Source organism: Homo sapiens, chromosome 9 (assembly GCF_000001405.40).
Source record: "Homo sapiens chromosome 9, GRCh38.p14 Primary Assembly".
Lineage (NCBI taxonomy): Eukaryota > Metazoa > Chordata > Mammalia > Primates > Hominidae > Homo > Homo sapiens.
This window is the reverse complement of record NC_000009.12, coordinates 62,872,649-62,893,717: the sequence shown is the minus strand read 5'-3', so window position 1 is coordinate 62,893,717 and position 21,069 is coordinate 62,872,649. Positions and strand designations below refer to the sequence as shown.

General features: G+C 36.1%; 1 long non-coding RNA gene and 1 pseudogene across 2 annotated transcripts in view, besides 1 other annotated feature; one reads left to right on the top strand and one right to left on the bottom strand.

The window, feature by feature from the left end:
- The window catches only part of LERFS (lncRNA negative regulator of fibroblast-like synoviocyte migration, SYNCRIP interacting), a 40,232-nt gene that overhangs the window by 4,370 nt on the left and 14,793 nt on the right, over nucleotides 1–21,069 (top strand). The window lies entirely within an intron of this gene.
- On the bottom strand, nucleotides 779–5,183 carry FGF7P8 (fibroblast growth factor 7 pseudogene 8; annotated as a pseudogene).
- Nucleotides 18,489–19,199: an enhancer, noted in NCBI's record as "OCT4-NANOG-H3K4me1 hESC enhancer chr9:66530343-66531053 (GRCh37/hg19 assembly coordinates)". NCBI's record gives its function as "activates a minimal SCP1, AML or CMV promoter by ChIP-STARR-seq in naive and primed H9 embryonic stem cells {active_cell/tissue: H9 hESC(naive and primed)}" and the evidence as "EXISTENCE:reporter gene assay evidence [ECO:0000049][PMID:30033119]".

Sequence of the window (21,069 nt, the reverse complement as noted above, 5' to 3'; positions counted from 1 at the left end):
GTATAGAAGTGGAATAAAGAGTAGCTGACAACAATGCTGAAATAGTTACACATGAAGTTTTAATGAGCTATTTCATATTAAGATACATATTGAGAATTCAAACCAGAGAGACCAGTTAATTGATATTTTCCCAACTCTGTTTTAGGGTGATCATAGAAATGATATCCACAAGTTAGTCACAGTGGCCTGCATCCATTTTGATATATCAGTGATGTATTTTGATTGGCCAGTGATCGCCCATACTGACTGTTAAATATTTTTGTTATCACTCCTATGCATGGTGAATTTGAGTTCTGGTTTTCTTTAGCCTTGTGTTATTTATGTGTAAAGTTGGATTATGGAAGGCAAAGAATCTCTCCTGTGTCATTCACGCTCAAGTAAATGGCAGTGGGGTAGGGATGTAAATGAAACTGCGTGATAAGCCCTGCAAGTCATTCTGATGTATCAATTTTGCTTACTGGTGTTTAATTGCAGACATTGTCATATTAATGCAACCACTAATACATTATGGAGTAAGATGCAAAAATCACATGAGTCTTAAGAGAAAAGAAATGTGCTTTCTATGGTGGGCCCCTTTTGTATTATTCTCTAACTTCTTATTTTATACCTCTACTATTAGAGAAATTTCAGTAGAAAATCATGAGGGGCACCGTTTTAGAGTTTTTGTTGTTATAGGTATGCTTTTACTACAGCTAGGTCCCCTTGTACATCTTTATGTTCTTTGGCAGTCTAGAGAACCAGAAGAGCAAACTCTATGAGATAGAAACTCTAAGAATTTATTTACCTCCAGCATCCCTTCTCTTCTTTCATTAAATTGAATTTGTGGCCAACTCAAAGACTGACAATTTATACTATGGTTTTTATGTTTTTATATTATAATTTATATTATGGCTTATGTCAAAATGTTTTGTTCACTGCTTTGAAAGTATCTTTTGTTTACTTTTGTTATTTCATATTTTCATTTTTTCCTTTCTAATTGTTAGAAACTCATGTATTTTATCTTTCAAAGAAAATTTTTTAAAAGGCTTACTCTGCTTATATGTATATTTTGCACAAAGCTTTCCATTCATAAACAAAAGGTGAATAGGAATCAGAATTGAAAACTACGTAATTTCTTTTCTCCTTTTGAGTCAAATCATCACAGTATAGATTAGTCATTGTGTATGAAGTGCATTGCCAATACATAGTCACATTTGTGTAGAAATGTAAAGGCTATATCTCAATACAAATCAAAAACCAAAAAATGCAGAAGACCATTAGCTAATAATACTAATAATCTAGTATAGAAAGCATGTGCCAACTGATCTAGACTCTTGTGACAGTTGTATATCTACCCAGCTGCATGACCTGAGGTGTATCAAAATCTTGATTTCCTAGACTACAAATGAGTAAAAGGGATGGAGGCCCCTTACAGTTTTAAGATTCTAGAATTCTAAGTGTGTGTAACTAGAGCAAATTTTATTTTCTAAAATTTGCATAATAAATTTAAAAATAGGAGAAAAACAAATAATTAAAGTACATATTTCTAGAAATCTTTTTTAGGTGACTTATACTACCAGGAATGGATTTACCACTAAATATTGGTTTTGCCTAATTCAGCATTGCTATGTAATTTGATGGAAGTATAACTCCATAGACAAAGAGATTTGGTCCTAACATAGCTTGTATTTTATATGTATATACACTATTTCTATTTAAATTTCTGTGTAGTCATGTTTTACCCTTTTAAAATGAAGATTAGTTTTATTATGTATTTTCTTTTGTCTATAAACATTCAATGAATTCACACTGAAAACTGATTATGAACAGATAGTCTGCTAGGCACTAAGGAAACACATACAAAAAACTAAGTCCTCCTCTGCCCTCAATATGCTCACAAGACTACAGTTACTGAAGCCTGACCTCAAAACCTAGCTAGCAAAGTCCTTGAATCAGGTGATAGTTCAGAATACCATTTGTGCTCTCTCCCAAGAGTATATCTGAGGAAGGGCAGTTCTTTCTAGTTTTCTACATCCTGGTCGTATAGGTCAACCACAGGAAAATTAAATGAATCTATTGTTTTGGTGACCTAGCCTTTTCATATAACTCTCATCTATAAATGTATTACCAAATACTATTTATGTAAAGGGACTTGTATGACAAATATTTTGAAATTAAAACCACAATGGTTAGCATAGCTTTTAAATTAGATAGATGTTGACCTCCCATTGGTAAACATATAAAGTGCTACCAAGATCTGCCAATGACAGACTTTGGAAGTGGAAATTCATCTTTGTAATAATCCTGTTATCTGTAGGCTGACTTCAAACCTTCATAACATTCAGGGCCCCTTATTCCTAACTGTATCTTCTATTTTGGGCATTGTGCTCTTGCCATCTAACAGGAAAACAACTTTCAGTGCTGCCATCTTTTGAACAGGAGAGATTTCTAGAGATTAGAAAATTACTAAATTTAAATATACATAGTTTTAAAATATGATACTTTTCTACCCATGCATTCAAATATATTCTAACTTTAAAATCCTGTAAATACTTATATTTGTAATGATTTTACTTATATGATCCAATTAATTGGCAAGAATATGTGGTGAAAGATTTTTTACATGTTTGTATTGTTCTGTGTGAGACATCTATTGTAAGCATTGCTTCAGGCCCTCATTTTTGTCTGCCTTCCAGGATTTGCTGGCCCAAGTGCTGTGTGCTAGCTTAGTGTCAGTCACAAAGGGGAGGGAAACTTGCAGTTGAGCCAGACAGTTTTGTTATTCCTTTAAAATTAAAAGCATATGAAACAGATACAGCTTATTAAGGTTTTTTTTATAAATAACATAAACTTAAATAACAAAACAATAAGTTCAAAAACAACTTAATATAGAGTTTAATGCAGTAACCATAGGAAAAAAGCGTGATTATTTGTGGGAAGAACATTATTAAAAGCCATATTCCCAAATATGAATTATACAAAGATAGATTATGTTACTTGAAAAAAACTTAAAGATTTCTCAATTTTACTTTGAGGAATTATAAAATGTTATTTAGTGGCAAGTAAGATGAAGTACAGTATTATCATCAATCACTGTTGCTATCTTATATACAAGATTTTTGGAAACATCCTTTTAGCAATACCCTTTCCACTTGAGCAGCATTAGAAATTTTGTTCTTGTTAATAGGTATAAGCATGTTCTAATCCTGTACTTTTGTTAAATTATCTATTTTATTGACTTTCATAATAGATTTTTTTGAGAATATTCTTTTTTTCTGATTAGAGTTTAAGTAGATTATAATTTTTCACTAGAAAGCATTTAAAATGCTGCTCATTTTCCATAGTTAGTGTGGGTTGATTATCTGACAAATCCTGCCAGCAGCCTGTAGGTCTGATATACCTTATATAACATCATCTGCATTATTATTATTATAGCAGCCATTTTATAAGCAGATAGGAATATTTAAATAATCATTATCAGATAATCAAATCTAACATACTCTTAAGGGTAAATTAATTTAAGAACAAAATTACTATTACTAACATCATGATTGTACAACCAGTTTTAAAATTTTGTACAACCTTTAGTTACTAAATCTGATTTTTGTGTATACTTTTCAAATGTCTCTTTAATGCAGTGCCTTAAAACAAACATAAATGCACAAGTCCAGCTTGATCAGTTTTTCAGTAGTTTTCCAGCCTTTCTTGATTACTAGAAAATAAAAGGAAAGAAAATTTTGAGAAGAAAGAAAACAGTCCACTTAAAGAAATCTCCCTGCTGGAACTGGTTCTTTATATACCATATGCAATTAAGTTATTGCCATAGGAAGAAAGTGGGCTGTTTTTTGTTCTTTCTTTGTTTTTTTTTCCTCTTACAGGAATCCCCTTTTGATTTAAGGCCACAAACATTTCCCCTCCGTTGTTTGTCCATTTAGCTGCTGCATATGTGTTGTAATGGTTTTCCAGAATTAGATCTTTGAAGTTACAATCTTCATTGCATTCCTTCTGTTAAAACAAACAAACAAACAAACAAACAAACAAACATGATCCAAATGATTTTTAGAGAGGCTCAATTAAACGAAGAGTAAGCAGGTAATATTTGGTAGAATTGAAACATACACAACTTTTTTTAACCCTCAGATTGAGCAGGCCTAATGTGGTTTATTAGCTAGACTTATGTAGTATATTTGCATTAAAAGGTATCTTAAATTTGAAATAGAAACACCACATAATACACAGCTAGTTATGAAATATGTGTAGCTTTTTGGAAGTTCATGTCAACTATTCTTTAAAATTAGGACCTATTTCCCCCTAAGTAACAGGCCTCATATTACTATTCCCACATCACTCATTCTTTAACCACTGGAAATTTGCTATAATTAGCAGAACCTCTGCCTCCCTCAGGTGAGAGACTTGTTTCACAACTTTTCTTTATTTACTTCTACATTGTCTTCAATGGTAATGGAAGATAAAAGGTTAATTTGTTTGTTCATCCATGCAACCATTTGTTCATTCAGTTAAACCTGTATCATTATACAATTAGCCTGTTCCAGGCATTATGCTGAGCTGTGGGAATATAAAGGAAAGCCAATTATATTTTATTACAGTGAGATGAACTGTTACATATTTTGCATTGTAGTGAAGTGGGAACAATGTGAATAATTACAGTTCAAAGCCCATGATTGTCAGATTGATATTGATGAATGAACTAAACATTTCAAGATTTTTTCCCAAGAATTTTCATGTCAGCAATGTGCAAATTGAGTGAACTTTAACAAAAAGAGCTTTAATACTGGCAAATGGAAATTTTGGATTTTAAATATCTAAAATGCACATGGAATTTTAGAGCTGGCAGGATCCTTAGAGGTCAGCTAATTCAACTCATTTTACAGATGAAGAAACCAAAATCCAAAGAACAAGCCATTTGTCCAAAGTCACACAGAAAACATTTTTTCTTAATGTTTGAGTATAAAGTGTTTTAATAAAATCATTAAATTATACAGTTGGAGATAAATTAAGTCCATTTTTACTTTTCAGAATGGTGAGATATTTCAACAAAAGAGTTTTAAAAATTAAGCCTAAGCTATCAATTATCAATACCTTTGCATAGAGTTTTCCTTCCTCGTTCATTGCAAGATAGAATTCACTTTCCACCCCTTTGATTGCCACAATCCCAACTGCTACTGTCCTGATTTCCATGATATCTGCAAGGAATCACAGAAAGACATGTCAAGTATTCGTTCAGCTTTGCAAATGATCCACGAATGGCCGTTTGTTCTTATTTCTGTTTTAATCGGAAGTTTTTAAAATTTTTAATGTGATTATTTACTCAGCCCAAGACCCCGACCCACAACAGATACACACAAACACCAGAATAGTCATTATATAAGGGAAGTGCAAACTGGCGGTTTTTTATTTTGTAGAAAATATGTCTGTATCAAATAAATAGTTACATATTTGAGTTCAGCTTTTTATTCTCTAGAATTAAATTTCTAATTTACTATAATAATAATAGCTAATGTTTATTGAACTCATACCACATGCCAAGGATTATTGCATTGCTCTTATGTATTAACTCATTTACTCATAACCACAGATTGAGGCAGGTAGTCTTGTTATCCCAGTTTTACAGATCAGGAAACTGAAGCACAGAGAAACTAAGACATTTGCCCAAATTCTTATACCTGATAAGTAGCAGAACTGGAATTTGAACCCAGACATTCTGGCTCTTAATCATTATATAATTACTTTTCTATTTGGATAAACTTTATCTTAAAAATTATTGCCAACAGAATAGCTCTTGAATATACTGAAAGTGAAGAAAATTCTAATTAAAGTAATTGTAAATGATGGTAAACAGAGCCTACTGTCTTAAAAAAAAAAGATTGTTTTAAACTGATAGTATTTTGATACATGAAAAGACCATTTAAAACAAAATTATGAATCCTGTTTATATAATACTTCATAACTTTATATCTTTGTAATTAACTTTTAAATCTTTGTTGAAATAGTATTTACAAAACATGTTTACACAAGAATGATAACTTACTATTTTCCTTTATTATATATATCTTCCTTAAATCCTGTGTTTTAATGACACAATAAAGTAAAATCTCAAGAAATTTATTAAAATGATGTAAAAATTTTAGTGTACTTTTATGCAATTTGCTATTAATTACATTTTCTACATGAAGGTACAGTCCTGAGACATTCTTTTACCTAAGTCTAACACAGTGCAAAGAAAAGTCGAAGTGTCAATTATCTGTGTGATTGGGCCTTCAAAAGCTATCTTCTAAAATATTGACTTAAAGAAAAAACTAATTGTTTTGCCCCATACCTTCACTTCATTCTCTTATTTATTTTTTTGACTTCATTTTTGCTACCTGGATAATAAAATTTCTATTCATGTCATTGGGATTTAATGTAGCCTAGCTAATATTTCTCATTTGCCTCACATATATGTTGCATACAGAAGCCCTTTTCCCAATATACTATACTTAACACTAGTCAGAGCTCGTCCAGTTGAGTTTCACAGCTACTCATCCAGAAATTGGGTTTTATTAAGAAAATGTAAATGAATGGATATTAATCTTTTTATATATTTATTAAGCATTATCACAACCCTACTGTGCATACAACCCTACTGTGGTTTTAGGACACAAATTAAGAAAAACAGCCCTGGTTTCTGACACCAGAAGTTAAAACCTAATAGAAAGAGCAGACACGTCCATATATTTTGAAGAATTTTGAAGAACACAGGCCTGAATAGGCCAGAGAAAATTTTAATAATTGCTTACAAGCACATGAAGGATTATGATGTTGATGCATTCATGAAATGTTCAACAGGTCTTCACTGAGAGTCAATTTTATGCTAGGCTCAATTCACAGACAAGCCTTGCCCTTTTAGAGCACTCTATTTGGTAACTACAGCTTCATTGCATTAAAGGAAGCACAAAGGGAAATAACATGCAGAAGAATACTATTAGGTTAAATTTGTACGAATACAATGAAAAATACTGAAGAAGTTCATTGATTCAGCATATTTGCAATACCTCCAAAATGGAATGAATGTATCAGTTAGGTCGGTGCAAGAGTAATTGTGGCTTTTGCCATTACTTATATGACAAAAACTGTAATTACCTTTGCACCAAACTAATATTTAAAAGACATATGGAATAGTTGGTTTCTAAAGATCTTAGCATTGTAAAATATCATTAAAAAGTCAATATTTTCTTTTCCTTCAAGTCTCTTTACTCCTGCCATTCCTCCCTTTATTTAATATATTTTCTTTTAGATAAAAAGAGAATGCTGATGCACAAGCTTAGAGTGTCTTTCTTGATCAGTTATTAGGGACTAGAATCTGTAATGTTTGCTGGCTTTTCTTTTACAGAACAAATGTAAAACATAAATGTTGACTGATAGAGTTATTATTAATTATGATAGGCAGACATCTTCCCTTTTTGGTCCTGTCATGACAATAAGTTCATATTGTCCCACTCCCAAAACATTTTCCTCTATCCCCTGCCTGTCTATTGCCCACTGTTTCTATACTGCACTTTACAAGAGGTGATGGCTGGATGTGGTAGCTCACACCTGTAATCCCAGCACTTTAGGAGGCCGAGTCAGGCAGATCACTTGAGGTCAGGAGTTCAATACTAACCTGGCCAACATGGCGAAACCCCGTTTCTACTAAAAATACAAAAAATTATCCGGGTGTGGTGGCGGGTGCCTGTAATCCCAGCTACTCAGGAGGCTGAGGCAGGAGAATTGCTTGAACCCAGAAGGCAGAGGCTGCAGTGAGCCAAAACGGTGCCACTGCCCTCTAGCCTAGGCAACAGAGTGAGACTGTCTCACCAAAAAAAAAAAAAATTAGTTGGGCATGGTGGTGAATTCCTATAATTCTAGCTACTTGAGAGGCTGAGGCAGGAGAATCACTTGAACTTGGGAGGCAGAGGTTGCAATGAGCCGAGGTCACACCACAGCACTCCACTCTGGGTGGAGTGAGGCTCTGTCTCAAAATAATAGTTAAATAAATAAATAAAAATAAGGTGGTGAATATTTTTAATCTTATCCCTCCACATATTAGGGTTAAGGATACCAAAAATTCTTCGTAAAGATTCTACGTTTAGCTGAGATGAGAACAGACTTACATTCTTAATTGCTTGACATATTTAAAAAATACCATTCACACTGGGAAATCAACATATCTAAAAGACAATTGCTTGGGGAGAGCATTAAGCAGTGTTGGCAGAATCAGTACCTTATCAACCCTATTTTCTAGTCTATTTTGTTCCATGTCCTACGACCCTCTTTTATTCAAGAAAAGCTCAAGAATAAAGAAATTAACATTATCACTTTTTTGTTCAGTTGCAGTGTGGGGAGTGATGTTCCTTTCAATATGCACAAATATTTATAGAAGTGTTAAATATGGGCTGGGCGCAGTGTCTCACGCCTGTAATCCCAGCACGTTGGGAGGCCAACGCGGGCGGATCACCTGAGGTCAGGAGTTCAAGACCAGCCTGGCAAATATGGTGAAACCCCATCTCTACTAAAAATACAAAAATTAGCCAGGCATGATGGTGGGTGTCTGTAATCCCAGTTACTCGGGAGGCTGAGTCAGGAGAATCATTTGAACCTGGGAGGCGGAGGTTGCAGTGAGCCGAGATTTCACCATTGCACTCCAGCCTGGACAACAAGAGCTAGACTCTATCTCACCAAAAAAAAAAAAAAAAAAAAAAAAAAATTATTAACTATGAAATCCTACCCCTCCAAATCAGAAGCCACGAAGTTGCTCAGAAAACATAATAGAAAAATATGTAATATGCAGATATTAAGTTAGTTACCAATATAAGTTAATTATACTTGGTTTTTTTGTCTACAGTGTATCCGTTGCCTCATATAAAACAAATAGAAGAGGCTGTCTTTCTTTGTGGATTTCCATTTGTGCTTAAGAGAAGTTTGTTCACATAAATAGCACTCAGTAAATTTATTCCCAGAGATTTAAAGCATATTACATAGATGCATCCAATTGTTGACATAATGTCCATGATAACATAATGACAGAGTTCAAAAATATAAATGAAAAAGAGAGAGAGAATCAGCTCATGCAATAGAACATGAAAAACCAGGCAATATGTCAAGCACATTGACCATTTTGCCTTGTTAGCAATATTGTCAACAATAGCATAAATTTATTATTTAGGATGTCACCCTTACACACTAGAGACTATGCCCTAAATAGCTTCCCTATTTTTTATCGTCTGGTTCAATAATTCATGAATTTATCTAAACTTTTTGTCTGTTTATTATTTAAACCTGTGTCACACTTGGAATGAAAAGTGGGGAACTTTGATCTAAATTGCAATTACTTTTTAAAAAAATTCTCTAAAGTCTTTCAGAATTTTAGGTGTCCCTCTAATCTTGTATTTCAGAAGTTGATACTAATTCTTTTTTTAATTACCAATAGCTTTGTGATTTTAAAGTGCTTTAACTTTCCTGTTTGAAAAATTACTTTTTAGTGTCTCACTACACAGAATCCATGGCCACCAATCTCAGCATCATTAATATTTCTTTTTCCTGAAACTGTTAAAGCCTTATATTTAAAGTTTTGAAGGGGTATATATTAATATGGCTGTGCTAGCATGATAACTAAATATTTTCAAGTTGCAAAAAAAAGTGGAGGCAGCGGTTTGATAGTTAGCCAGTCAGAACATTTAATCTTGTCCTTGATCAAATATACCCTCTTCGGCATGTTAAAACTAAGAACTAGTATCAACAAAGAAAAAAACATTTAAATTTAAATACATTTTATGATTTTCTGTCAAGCCTGGATTGTTGAGTGGGAAATCTTAACCATTATATATTTATATTATGTTTAAGGCTATAGATTCCATTCATTTTACATCACTAAAATACACCGACATATACATATATGCAAAAAATATATCAATATATCCAACATATACAAAAAACACTGAAAACACAACAATAGGAAAAAAAAACTAGTTAAAAAGTGGGCAAAATCTGGACACCTCACTAAAGATACACGAAGGGCAAATAAGCAGACGAAAAGATGCTCAATATCATAGATCATCAAGGAATTGCAACATGGATGCAGCCGGAGGCCATTATCCTAAGCAAATTAACACAGGAACAGAAAAATAACTACTGCATGTTTTCACTTATAACTGGGAGCTAAACACTGGGTACTTAGGGACATAAAGATGGCAACAACTGACACTGGGGACTACTGGCGGGGAGTAGATGAGGGAAGGGTTGAAAAACCATTAGGTACTATGCGCAGTACCTGGGTGATGGGAGCAATCATACCTCAAACCTCAGTATCACACAATATACCCAGGTAACAGACCTGCACATGAACCCCCTGAATCTAAAATAAAAGTTGAAATTATTTAAAAAGGAATTGCAAATTAAAACAACAACAATGAGATACCTCTATACAACTATTAGCATGACTAAACTCCAAAAAACTGACAGTGCTGTATGCTGGCAAGGATGCAAAGCAACCAAAACTCTTTCATTAAACAAGTTTCAACAAAGTTAAAATCATTTAAGTCATGTAAAGTATATCAAACTTCTCCTTTGAGCAGGCCTCTGTGCTGAGCTCTATGGTCAACTAAAGACTCTGTTGTTGCTCAGCTACACAGGGCTGATCAGGGCTAGAAGCCATTATGCCCCACACATATGTGCGGACTTGATCTTGTCTCCTGGCCTAAGGTAGGCTTAAACAAAGCTTAGTGGAGTCCCTGGTCAGCTGCTGGTGCTGGGTGGGGACCAGATGTACTCTCTGCAGAGAAGTGCTGACGTTCACTTGCCTTCTAGCCTGGGCAATGCTGTAGAAAGCACCAGGTCTATGTAGGAAAGCTGGCGAGGGATGCGAGCTGGGTACACCTGTCAGCTGTACTTCCTGTGGTACAACGCTGTTGGCTAGTCTCTCTCATATGATGCCTCCATTAGCCAGAATGCAGACTAACTACATGCTAGTCTCTGTGAGATCTACTCCCATTCTTTGTTTCTAGCTGACTCCAGGTGGTCTAGCCCCGATGGCACTCCTAATGTTTCCTGTGGTATAAGACAAGAGTGAGCCTCCTGTGAAGGGTCCTAGAATGGTGGGCAAGCTGAACGTCCACCTCCAACTTTCTTTTCCCACTGTAGAAATAGTGGGTCCGGTGAAATCCTCTGTGTGTCGTGCTGTGCCAGCTTGGTGGAGGGGTGGCATGCTCAAAATGAACTGTTCCTCTTACCCTTCAAAGCACAGCTTTTCCTAGTTCTGCAGTACAATTGGGTGTCTCAGTCTCACCCCTGAGTTCTGGGATATTCAGAAAGGTATTCTTGCCTGTGGATAGTTGCTAGTTGGATTTCCGTGTGGGGGTGTGGAGCTGGAGAAATTCTATTCTGCCACCTTGTGAAGTCATTCTCTGGAATAATTTTAGATTTACATAGAGTTGCAAAGATGGTAAAGACAGTTTCTATACACTCTTCACTTAGTTTCTTCTGATGTTAACCTCTTACGTAACCATGGCACATTTATTAAAAATGAGAAATTAACATTGTATAATACTATTACCTAAATGACAGGCTATATTTAACCAGTTTTTCATTTTTGAGAGGAAGTCTCACTCTAATGCCTAGGCTGGAGTGCAGTGGTGCGATCTTGGCTCACTGTAACGTCAACCTCCTGGTTTCAAGTGATTTTCATTCCTCAGCCACCCGAGCAGCTGGGATTACAGGTGCCCAACACCACGTCCAGCTAATTTTTGTATTTTCAGTAGAGACGGGATTTCACCACGTTGGCCAGGCTGGTCTCAGACTCCTGACCTTAGGTGATCCACCTGCCTTGGCCTCCCAAAGTGCTGGGATTACAGGAGTGAGCCACCGTGCCTGGCCCACATTTCACCAGTTTTTTTTTTTTTTTTTTTTTTTTTTTTAACTAATTTCTTCTCTTTGTTCCCAGGTACCATCCAGGATCTCATATTGTGTTTAGTCTTCATGTCTCCTTAGTCTACTTCAATTAGGGACAATCTCTCTGTCTTTCCTGGCTTTGACACTTTGAAGACCACTGACCAGATATTTTTTAGAATGTGCATCAAATGATTTGGGTTCATCTGATGTTTTCTCTTAATTAAAGTGGGGTTGTAAATTTTGAGGAAGAATTTCACATAGTTGAAGTGACCTTCCCATTGTGTCACGGTGGTGTGAGGTAGCCATATGACTTTTCATTGTTGATGTTAAGCTTGATTACTTGGCTATGTTGGTGACTTGATGGTTTCCTCCACTACAAAATTACAGTTTTTACTTTTCCGTATTCCATTTCTTAAAAGTCAGTCATTAAGACCAACCTGCAAGACTGGGCACAGTGTCTCATGTCTGTAATTCCAGGACTTTGAGAGACCAAGGTGGGCAGATTGCTTGAGCCCAGAAGTTCAAAACCAGCCTGGGCAACATGATGAAACCCCATCTCTACAAAAGTTACAAAAATTAGCCAGGTGTGGTGGAGTGCACCTGTAGTCTCAGCAATGTGGGAGGCTGAGGTGGGAGGATCACTTGAGTCTCGGTTGTTGGGGTTGCAGTGAGCTGTGATTGCGCCAATGCACTTCGGCCTGGATGACAGAGGAAGACCTTATCTCAAAAACAAAAACCCAAACCACAAAAACAAGACTAACTTGCAAGCCACATGAGGGGAATTCAACTTCACCTTAATTCAAAATCACCACAGTGATTAACAAATATTTAAAGAATTTTTCAATGGTTATAGAATTCTGGGTTGATAGGTTTTTAAAAATTCTTTTATGACTTCAAAAGTGTCACTTCGTTTCTTGCTTGCATGGTTTCTGATATGAAGTCAGCTCCCATTCTTAACCTTGTTTCTTGTTTGATAATGTCTTTTTTCCTCTAACTTCCTCAAGATGTTTCTCTTTTGAGAAAAATGAGAGATTTTCAGTTTTTGTGTTGATTTCTCTTTGTCTCTGGTTTTCAGCAATTTGAACACATTCCATGTCACTTTAAGAGTTCTTCATCAGGGGTCACTGGACACGCGTCACAATTAACAAAGGGGAACACATTCTCCAAATGTATTCTGTTTCCCCAGGAAGCCAGCTGGAAATACAACAAAACGCCTCTCCCGCTCCTTTAGCAAAACATGTGTCAGAGCAACGCAAGATTTGATTGGGACTGCTTTACTTCGTTAACAATTACAGTGAGCTGTTTTTTTTTTTCTAGTAACAACCCAGTAATAGTTATTAAATTATTTGGAGCTAAATAAGTGTAATGGTAATTTTCATTTAAATTTTGCTATATGGTAGCTTAGAGCATCTTACCTGTACACAGTTCCAAAGGCAGAAAACCTAAATTAAATTAACATATAAAAAATTAACATAGATGTATCATTACAGGTTCTCAAAACCATCATAAATGGCTCTATTTTACATCTCTGAGCTCTTATATGATGTTTCCTTTAACTATGTCATAAGATCTAAGACTATGGTTTGAAATATATACCTACTATAAAAAAGTAAGCCTTCCTGCTAGTGTCAATAGATAAAAACAAAACAGACAAAACGACAACCAAAAATGCCCAGAAATCCTTTTTTTTTTTGTGAGATGGAGTCTCACTCTGTCACCCAGGCTGGAGTGCAGTGGTGCGATCTCAGCTCACTGCAACCTCCGCCTCCCAGGTTCAAGCAGTTCTCCTACCTCAGCCTCCTGAGTAGCTGGGACTACAAGCGCCCACCACCATGCCTGGCTATTTTTTTTTTTTTTTGTATTTTTATAGATACAGAGTTTCACTGTGTTAGCCAGGATGGTCTCGATCTCCTGATCTCGTGATCTGCCCGCCTCGGCCTCCCAAAGTGCTGGAAACCCTATTTTCAAATGCATATTTGCATTCATAATAACCCGTGAATACATACATCTATTGATCTATGTATTCATGCATCTCTATATGTAAATGTCTGTCCAAAATGCCACTATATATATATTTATATATTAAACTTTTATTTTAAGTTTGGGTTACATGGGCAGGTTTGTTATATAGGTAAACGCGTGTCATAGAGGTTTGTTGTACAGATTATGTCATCTCTCAGGTATTAAGCCTAGTAACCAATAGTTATTTTTTGTACCCCTTTCCCTCCTCCCACCCTCCACTCTCAGGTAGGCCCCAGTGTGTGTCACTGCCCTCTATGTATCCATGTGTTCTCATCGTTTAACTCCCACTTGTAGGTGAGAAGATGCGGTATTTTGTTTTCAGTTCCTGTGTTAGTTTGCTAAGGATAATGGCCTCCAGCTTCATCATGTTCCTGAAAAGGACATGATCTCATTCTTTTTTATGGTTGCATAGTATTCCACTATTCCACGGTGTGTATGTACCACAATATGTTAAATTTTAGTTTATTACAACTTTTATGCAACACACAATGGCAAGATGAATCAGATCAGAAGATAAACAATTGAGTGTGAAAAGACAGCAGTTTTTTTCCTGTTTTATTGTCTGCAGATGTAATTTTCAACGAGAATACATTTTATTGCATTAGTAGTGCTTTTAGAAGAGACATCAATATGATGCCCAGGCTGGTCTTGAACTCCTGGTCTTAAGCGATGCTCCCTCCTAAGCTTCCCAAAGTGGTAAATTGTACTTCCTGAGGGCATAGAAAAGAGACATAGAAGCAAGTGAAATTGGTATTACCCTTTTTTCTGTTACTCTTTATTAGTAAAACAAATTAGGTTTTTCTTTCCTTGGTTTTCATGTGTCCAAGCTCCTTTCTCTTTCATTTCACATGTGCACAAATATAATAACATACACTTTTGAACATCAAAAGTTGAATGATGAAAGATCATTCGTTAGCCCAAATCAACCTGCACATGACTTTTTTTTTATTCCGCTGAGAGTTAGCCTGTGGAAAGGTGGCAGGGTTTCACTGCATTATCCCCTGCAGATGGAAAGGTCAATGACAACATGTGTAATTGCTTCAGTCCTGATTTTCTACCTACACTTTCTGCTTCGGGGTTGTTTCACCTGACCAAGGCAGTTTCTGTGGCAGCAGGTCCTAGCTCTCTCGACCAGGTCCACTGACAAAGCCACTTTGCTGAGTGGCCAATTTGCTGATGACTATTTTGTTAAATTTGTTTCTGCTATTTAAGGTTGACATATTTTCTTGTGTCATAGTCTCAGCAAAAGTGAAGGGATGGCTGGTCTATCTCTGACCTGGCTTTCTGCTTTGACAGATGGAAGCTAAAAGAAAAAAGGAAAAACTGATGGTGCAAAAGATAAACATATTTATATGAATTTATTCGTGAATAAAATGATTTATTTTTAAAATATATTCTTGATATGATTTGGCTGTGTCCCCACTCATCTTAACTTGTGGTTCCCATAATCCCCATGTGTTGTGGGAAGGACCCAGTGGGAGGTAATTGAATCATGGGGGCGGTTACTTCCATGCTGCTGTTCTCATAATGGTGAGTGAGTTCTCACGAGAACTGATGGTTTTATAAGGGCCTTTTCTCCGTTTGCTCAGCACTTCTCCTTTCTGCCATCATGTGAAGGAGGACATGTTTGCTTCCCCTTCTGCCATGATTTTAAGTTTCCTGAGGCCTCCCCAGCCATGCTGAACTGTGAGTCAATTAAAGCTCCCTTTTACAAATTACCCAGTCTCGGGTATGCCTTTATTAGCAGCGTGAGAACGGACTAATACAATTCTTCCGATGAATATATTCTTCTCATTGATAAATGCTTGATGTAAATGCTTAATTTTTCCTCTAGCTGCCTTCAAGATTTTTCTCATTGTCTGTGGTTTTCAGCAATTTGGATACCTTACATATCATTTTTGTGAATCTTCCACAGAGATCAGTGGACACATGTGGCACAAAGAACATGTGAATTAAGAATGCACTCCTGAATAACATATTTTACATATGTATTATTGAGTATATTCTTAAATATAAATAATTTCTTATGAATATATTTTGATTAATAAATATATTAATAAATATTAACTTATGCATATTCTTCTTATTCAAAAATATGTTCTTATAAATATATTAATTACTCCCTCTCTCTTCCCCCTAGTCTCCAAAGGTAACATCAGGGGCCAGAACAGAGACACAGAAATGTTCCTTAAAATGTCAAAATGAAATATTGTCTATTAAAACAGAAGAATTAAAATAAACAAGAGAAGTTGGGCATTGGTCATCTGATGGTTGTAACCTCCAGCTTTCCCAGGAAACTTGGTTGGACCCTTTTCTTGTGTTCAGCTGTCAGAAGCTAAATGTTCCCTTCCTCTCTCTCTTTGCAGTCTGTTCGTGACATTTGGTATTCCTAATATGCCCACTTGGAGGAAATTGCCAGCTTAGGCCAACCAGGGTGAAATGCATGCGCTTATAAACTCATAAGCCCAATAATAATTTTCAGAAGGAGGCACTCATTCACTTCGGCTTATAAACTTGCAAATCTGTAGATTCATTAGTCTATCACTTACATGGAAAGACAAAATTTATATTTAATTGTTGAGACTTGACTTCAAAATTTTCAAGAATATCAACATTTGTTTTTGTTGTGCACCTCTCTGTCAAAAGGTAAATACGTAGTACATAATCATTATTTATTTATTAATAATATACTCTGCATGGTCTTACATTTCATAGTTCATGCATTGTTTATTCATTAATATAACCTGTGTTAATATGCACCACATTACCGAGAGCCCTTGTCAACTCCTCAGAAGCAATTAACTCCCAAGGTAACTATGACAACAAATCTCTTAATGCTTAAAGTGTAACAAAAAGATTGTGTGATTTGGATGTTAATTCAAATATTTCCCATACAGCCCCATACAGCCACTTTAGAAGGGAAGTGGTTTCTCACAAAACTAAGTATACTGTCACTGTAAGATCCAGTAATTGTGTCTTGGCATTTAACCAAAGGCATGGAAAACTGAGGTCAACACAAAAATCTATACATTGATGTTTATAGGAGTTTTATTCATAATTGCCCAAAGGTGGAAGCAACTTCAGTAAGTGAATGGATAAACAAACTCTGGTACACTCATACAATAGAATGTTATTAAGTGATAAAAAGGTACACACTATTTAACTATGAGAAGACATGGAAAAAAAAAAACCTTAAATGCCCATCGCTAAGTGAAAGAAGCCGATCTGAAAAGACTACATACTGTGTAAGCCGAACTATATGACATTCTTTAAAAGGCAGAATGATGAAGACAATGAAAAGTACAGTTGTTGCCAGAGATTTGCGGGGAGAAGGAGGGATCAATAGGTGGAGCACAGGGGATTTTTAGGGCAGTGAAACCATTCTGTAAAATGTCATGGTGGATATATGACCTTATACATTTTCCAAACCCATAGAATGTACAACACAAACAGTGCACCTTAATGAAACTGTTAATTTTAGTTAATAATAATAATGTATCAATGTTGGCTCATTAATTGTAACAAATATACCAGACGAATGCAAGATATCTTAATAATAGGCATGATGAGCTAGGGAGGGTTTAAGGAACTCTCTGTATTGTCTGCTCAATTTTCTTGTAACTGCCTCCCAAAATAATGTCTTTTTATTAAAGGAAAACATGCTGCTACCACTATATGCTTAGTGTCCTGTGCATTTCAAGTCTGGGTGGTATGTCTAGCAGAAATATATTAACATGTCCCAGGCTGATGGTATTGAATAAAGGATTTAGATGGCCATAAAAAATGGATTTTGTATAATGGATTTCTGAGTTGATAAGAAAGCAGTATGAGTATATCACCATAATACAAAACTTAGTGATTTGAAATAAGGCAAACATATCATCCATTTTGCCAGTGTAATGATAACACACACACTGTATAAACGGATATTGGAACATCAGTTTGTCACTGGGTGTTCAGGATGTAGAATATACATCAACTTAAATTTTCACATTTAGTAAAGCTCTAGCTTCCTCTTATGCTAGCTCCATAAATAAGACAAACTTTTTCTTTCATCCTCTCTGATGGCCAATGCCGGCCTAAACTCTTGCCTGTTAGGAATTAGTACACATCTCCTAGCTCAGAGACACCTACACGAGTGACTCTTGGCCAGTGGAACCTGGTTCACTGTGCCCTCCAGTGTGGGGCCAGGCATTGTTCCTCTCCCTTGCTTGGCATCCCAGTCTTGTGGGCCCTCTTTCAGTTGTTCATTCACTCCCTGCTTCCTCTCTTCACAAAAACTACTCTGTTGACCTTGGCTTAGAATTCTCTACCCACCCTCCACCCACCTCTTTATGCTGATCCTGTCCTTGTCCTGTCTTGCAAGGCTCAACAGTTAAGTCTCAGGGCAGCCTTCCCTCACCCTTCAGTCCTGCCGCTTTATATAACCATCCTGTAGACTCCTGCTATTTTCCATCAATCTGAGAGCCTCAGTTCCCTGGTGTGATAATGTGACTAAAGTCAGCCTCACCTAATTAAACAGGGAGCCCCCAGAAAGCAGGGCTCACTGTCATTCGGCAGTACCTGCCCTGAGTCTGGCCCGTCCCTGCTGCAGCTCAGGAGAACTCAGCAGCCCAAGACAGCACCTTCGTAGGGCTCAGCAATACAGCTTGAACTAAGGGAGGGAGGGAAAGAAAGAGGCAGAGAATAAATGAATCAACTTAGCCAGAATTTTATAGTCAGAAGATCTACAAAGAAGTGGCTTTAATTTCAGCATATATTTGCTTTTAAAGACAAAATGACATTTTAATGCTATTATTAGTGGTAGGGAATGGGTGAAATGTCCATGTGTTGGTGCTTGAGGTCACTAAACAACTTAACATAGCTCTGAGTAGAGGTTTCAAAGAGAGTTTTCAATGAAATGATTTGTTTTACAAAATAGGGCACATTATCTCCTGTTTTGTTGTGGAAACAAAACCCATAGAATAATTTCCCTTTTAAGCAATTCTTTGTTTCCATTGAGGGAAGCTGAACTCAGAATATGCCATGTTAGATCAGGAGAGATTCAGGACAGACATTGGGAAGAATTTTCTAGCTGGGGTGTTGTTAATCACTTTCCCACAGTAAAAAAGCCTGCACAGCAGCCTTTTTTTGATGAGAATTAAGGCAATAAGACAATTAATAGTCTAACCCAATAACAGCTGAATTGACCAGATATCCTTCAAGACTTCTGAGAGACTTCCTCAGCACATGGACTTGAGCTCTTACATAATGTTCTCATTCACAGACTGCATTGTGCCTGCAATCTCATGTGTTATTATTATTATTAGTAATAGTATTTTAGACGGAGTCTCACTCTGTCCCCAGGCTGGACTGCAGTGGCATGATCTCGGCTCATTGCAACCTCCGCCTCCTGGGTTCAAGCGATCCTCCTGCCTCAGCCTGCCAAGTAGCTGGGATTACAAGCGCCTGCCACCACACCCAGCTAATTTTTGTATTTTTAGTGGAGACGGGGTTTCACCACGTTGGCCAGGATGGTCTCGATCTCCTGGCTTCATGATCTGCCTGTCTCGGCCTCTCAAAGTGTTGGGATTACAGGCGTGAGCCACCGCGTCCGGCCCCATCTGTTATTATTCAAGGTATTTTAGTGCATCACCGCGCACACGATCTTGGGTCTTGCCATTATTTTGTTATCCCTGTACTTGAAGAAGAGAGACATTCTGACTGGCATTAACTCAACATTTTGTGTGATGGACTATTACATATGGCTCAGAACGCATTTTTGTTTGCTATATAGAAATGATCTTCTCTTCTGTGTGATAAATAATACAGCTAAAAGTCTCAGAATTAATCAAACTTACCGTCAATTAATTTCAAATTTTTGACTAGCTTCCTTAAGTATTTAAATTATTATGATTTGCAAAATAACCTTGAAAGTCATTCAGTCAAAATGGCTTTGAAATAAAATCATCATATGTTAAAGTAAGAAATTATATCCTACATAATAAGGACAATAGATACATTAAAATAGTCTCATCAAGTATTTGCCTTTAGTTAGTAGTTATTTCTCTAAGAAAGTATTACCTTCAATTTTGAACAAAGTTTTCTTTCTTTTTTTTGGCAGTATCAGCCTTTTGCCAAGCTGAACACAAGGGGATGAAAAGAAAATCTGGGCTCGAATGTGCAATTTCATATTTTCTGTTAAGGCAATTTACAACATATCATAAAGCTGCATTAATAAACAGATGTTCCACAGTCTGCAGAATATAAAATAAATGTCTTGAATAAGCTACGAAGACCAAGGCACTTTTCGGAGCAGATTTTTTTGTCTTAAAGTTTTATCTCATGCAAACACTGCGTATAACACAAACTTATATAATCAATGCTTTTAGCAAAATGTCATAGTAGAACCAAGGCCCAGTTGTTAGCTGAAATCTATATAAATATAGGTATGTAGAATAGTTAGGAAATATAAATATTAGCATATGCTCTTTATTGTTGATGATATCAATAATTCTTTTATGAACTCAGAAAAGTTTTTTCTCTTTATATTCAAAATGAAGTTTTCTAATTACTCTCTTTTTCACAGGGTTCTCCCCGTCTGCAAATTATACCCATTACAGCTATTTCTTTTAAGTAAATATCTCCTTCAAGTCAGTCTTAGTTTCTCCAACACCTAGACAATGCCTGGCACATGTAAAGGCGTTCAGAATACAAGTAAATGCATGCATAAAATGAACAAATATATTTACAAGATATTTATAGACATGTGATAGGAATGTGGGGGCCAGGAAGAGGGATTCTAGCTTTTGGGTAGATACAATTGCAGATAATAACAATAACTTACAAGGTGCCTAAAATATCAAGTTACCGTTCTAAATGTGTTAGATCTATTGGTTCATATAGTGCTTGCAAAAGCCCTTGAAGTATACTTTTGTTATACTTACCATTATATAAATAGAGAAACTAAGGCAGGGAGAGGTTATGTTGTTCCAGGTTCACGTGACAATTCAATGGCAGAGCTTGATTCAAATTTCATACTTTTAACTTACGTACAATTTTGCCTACCATCAAGACATTCTTCTTGCTGAATGGAACAAGGCCCTCAAAGGGAATTTATGGAGTACTATTACACATAAATAACTCTGAATATAAGTAATTCTTCTG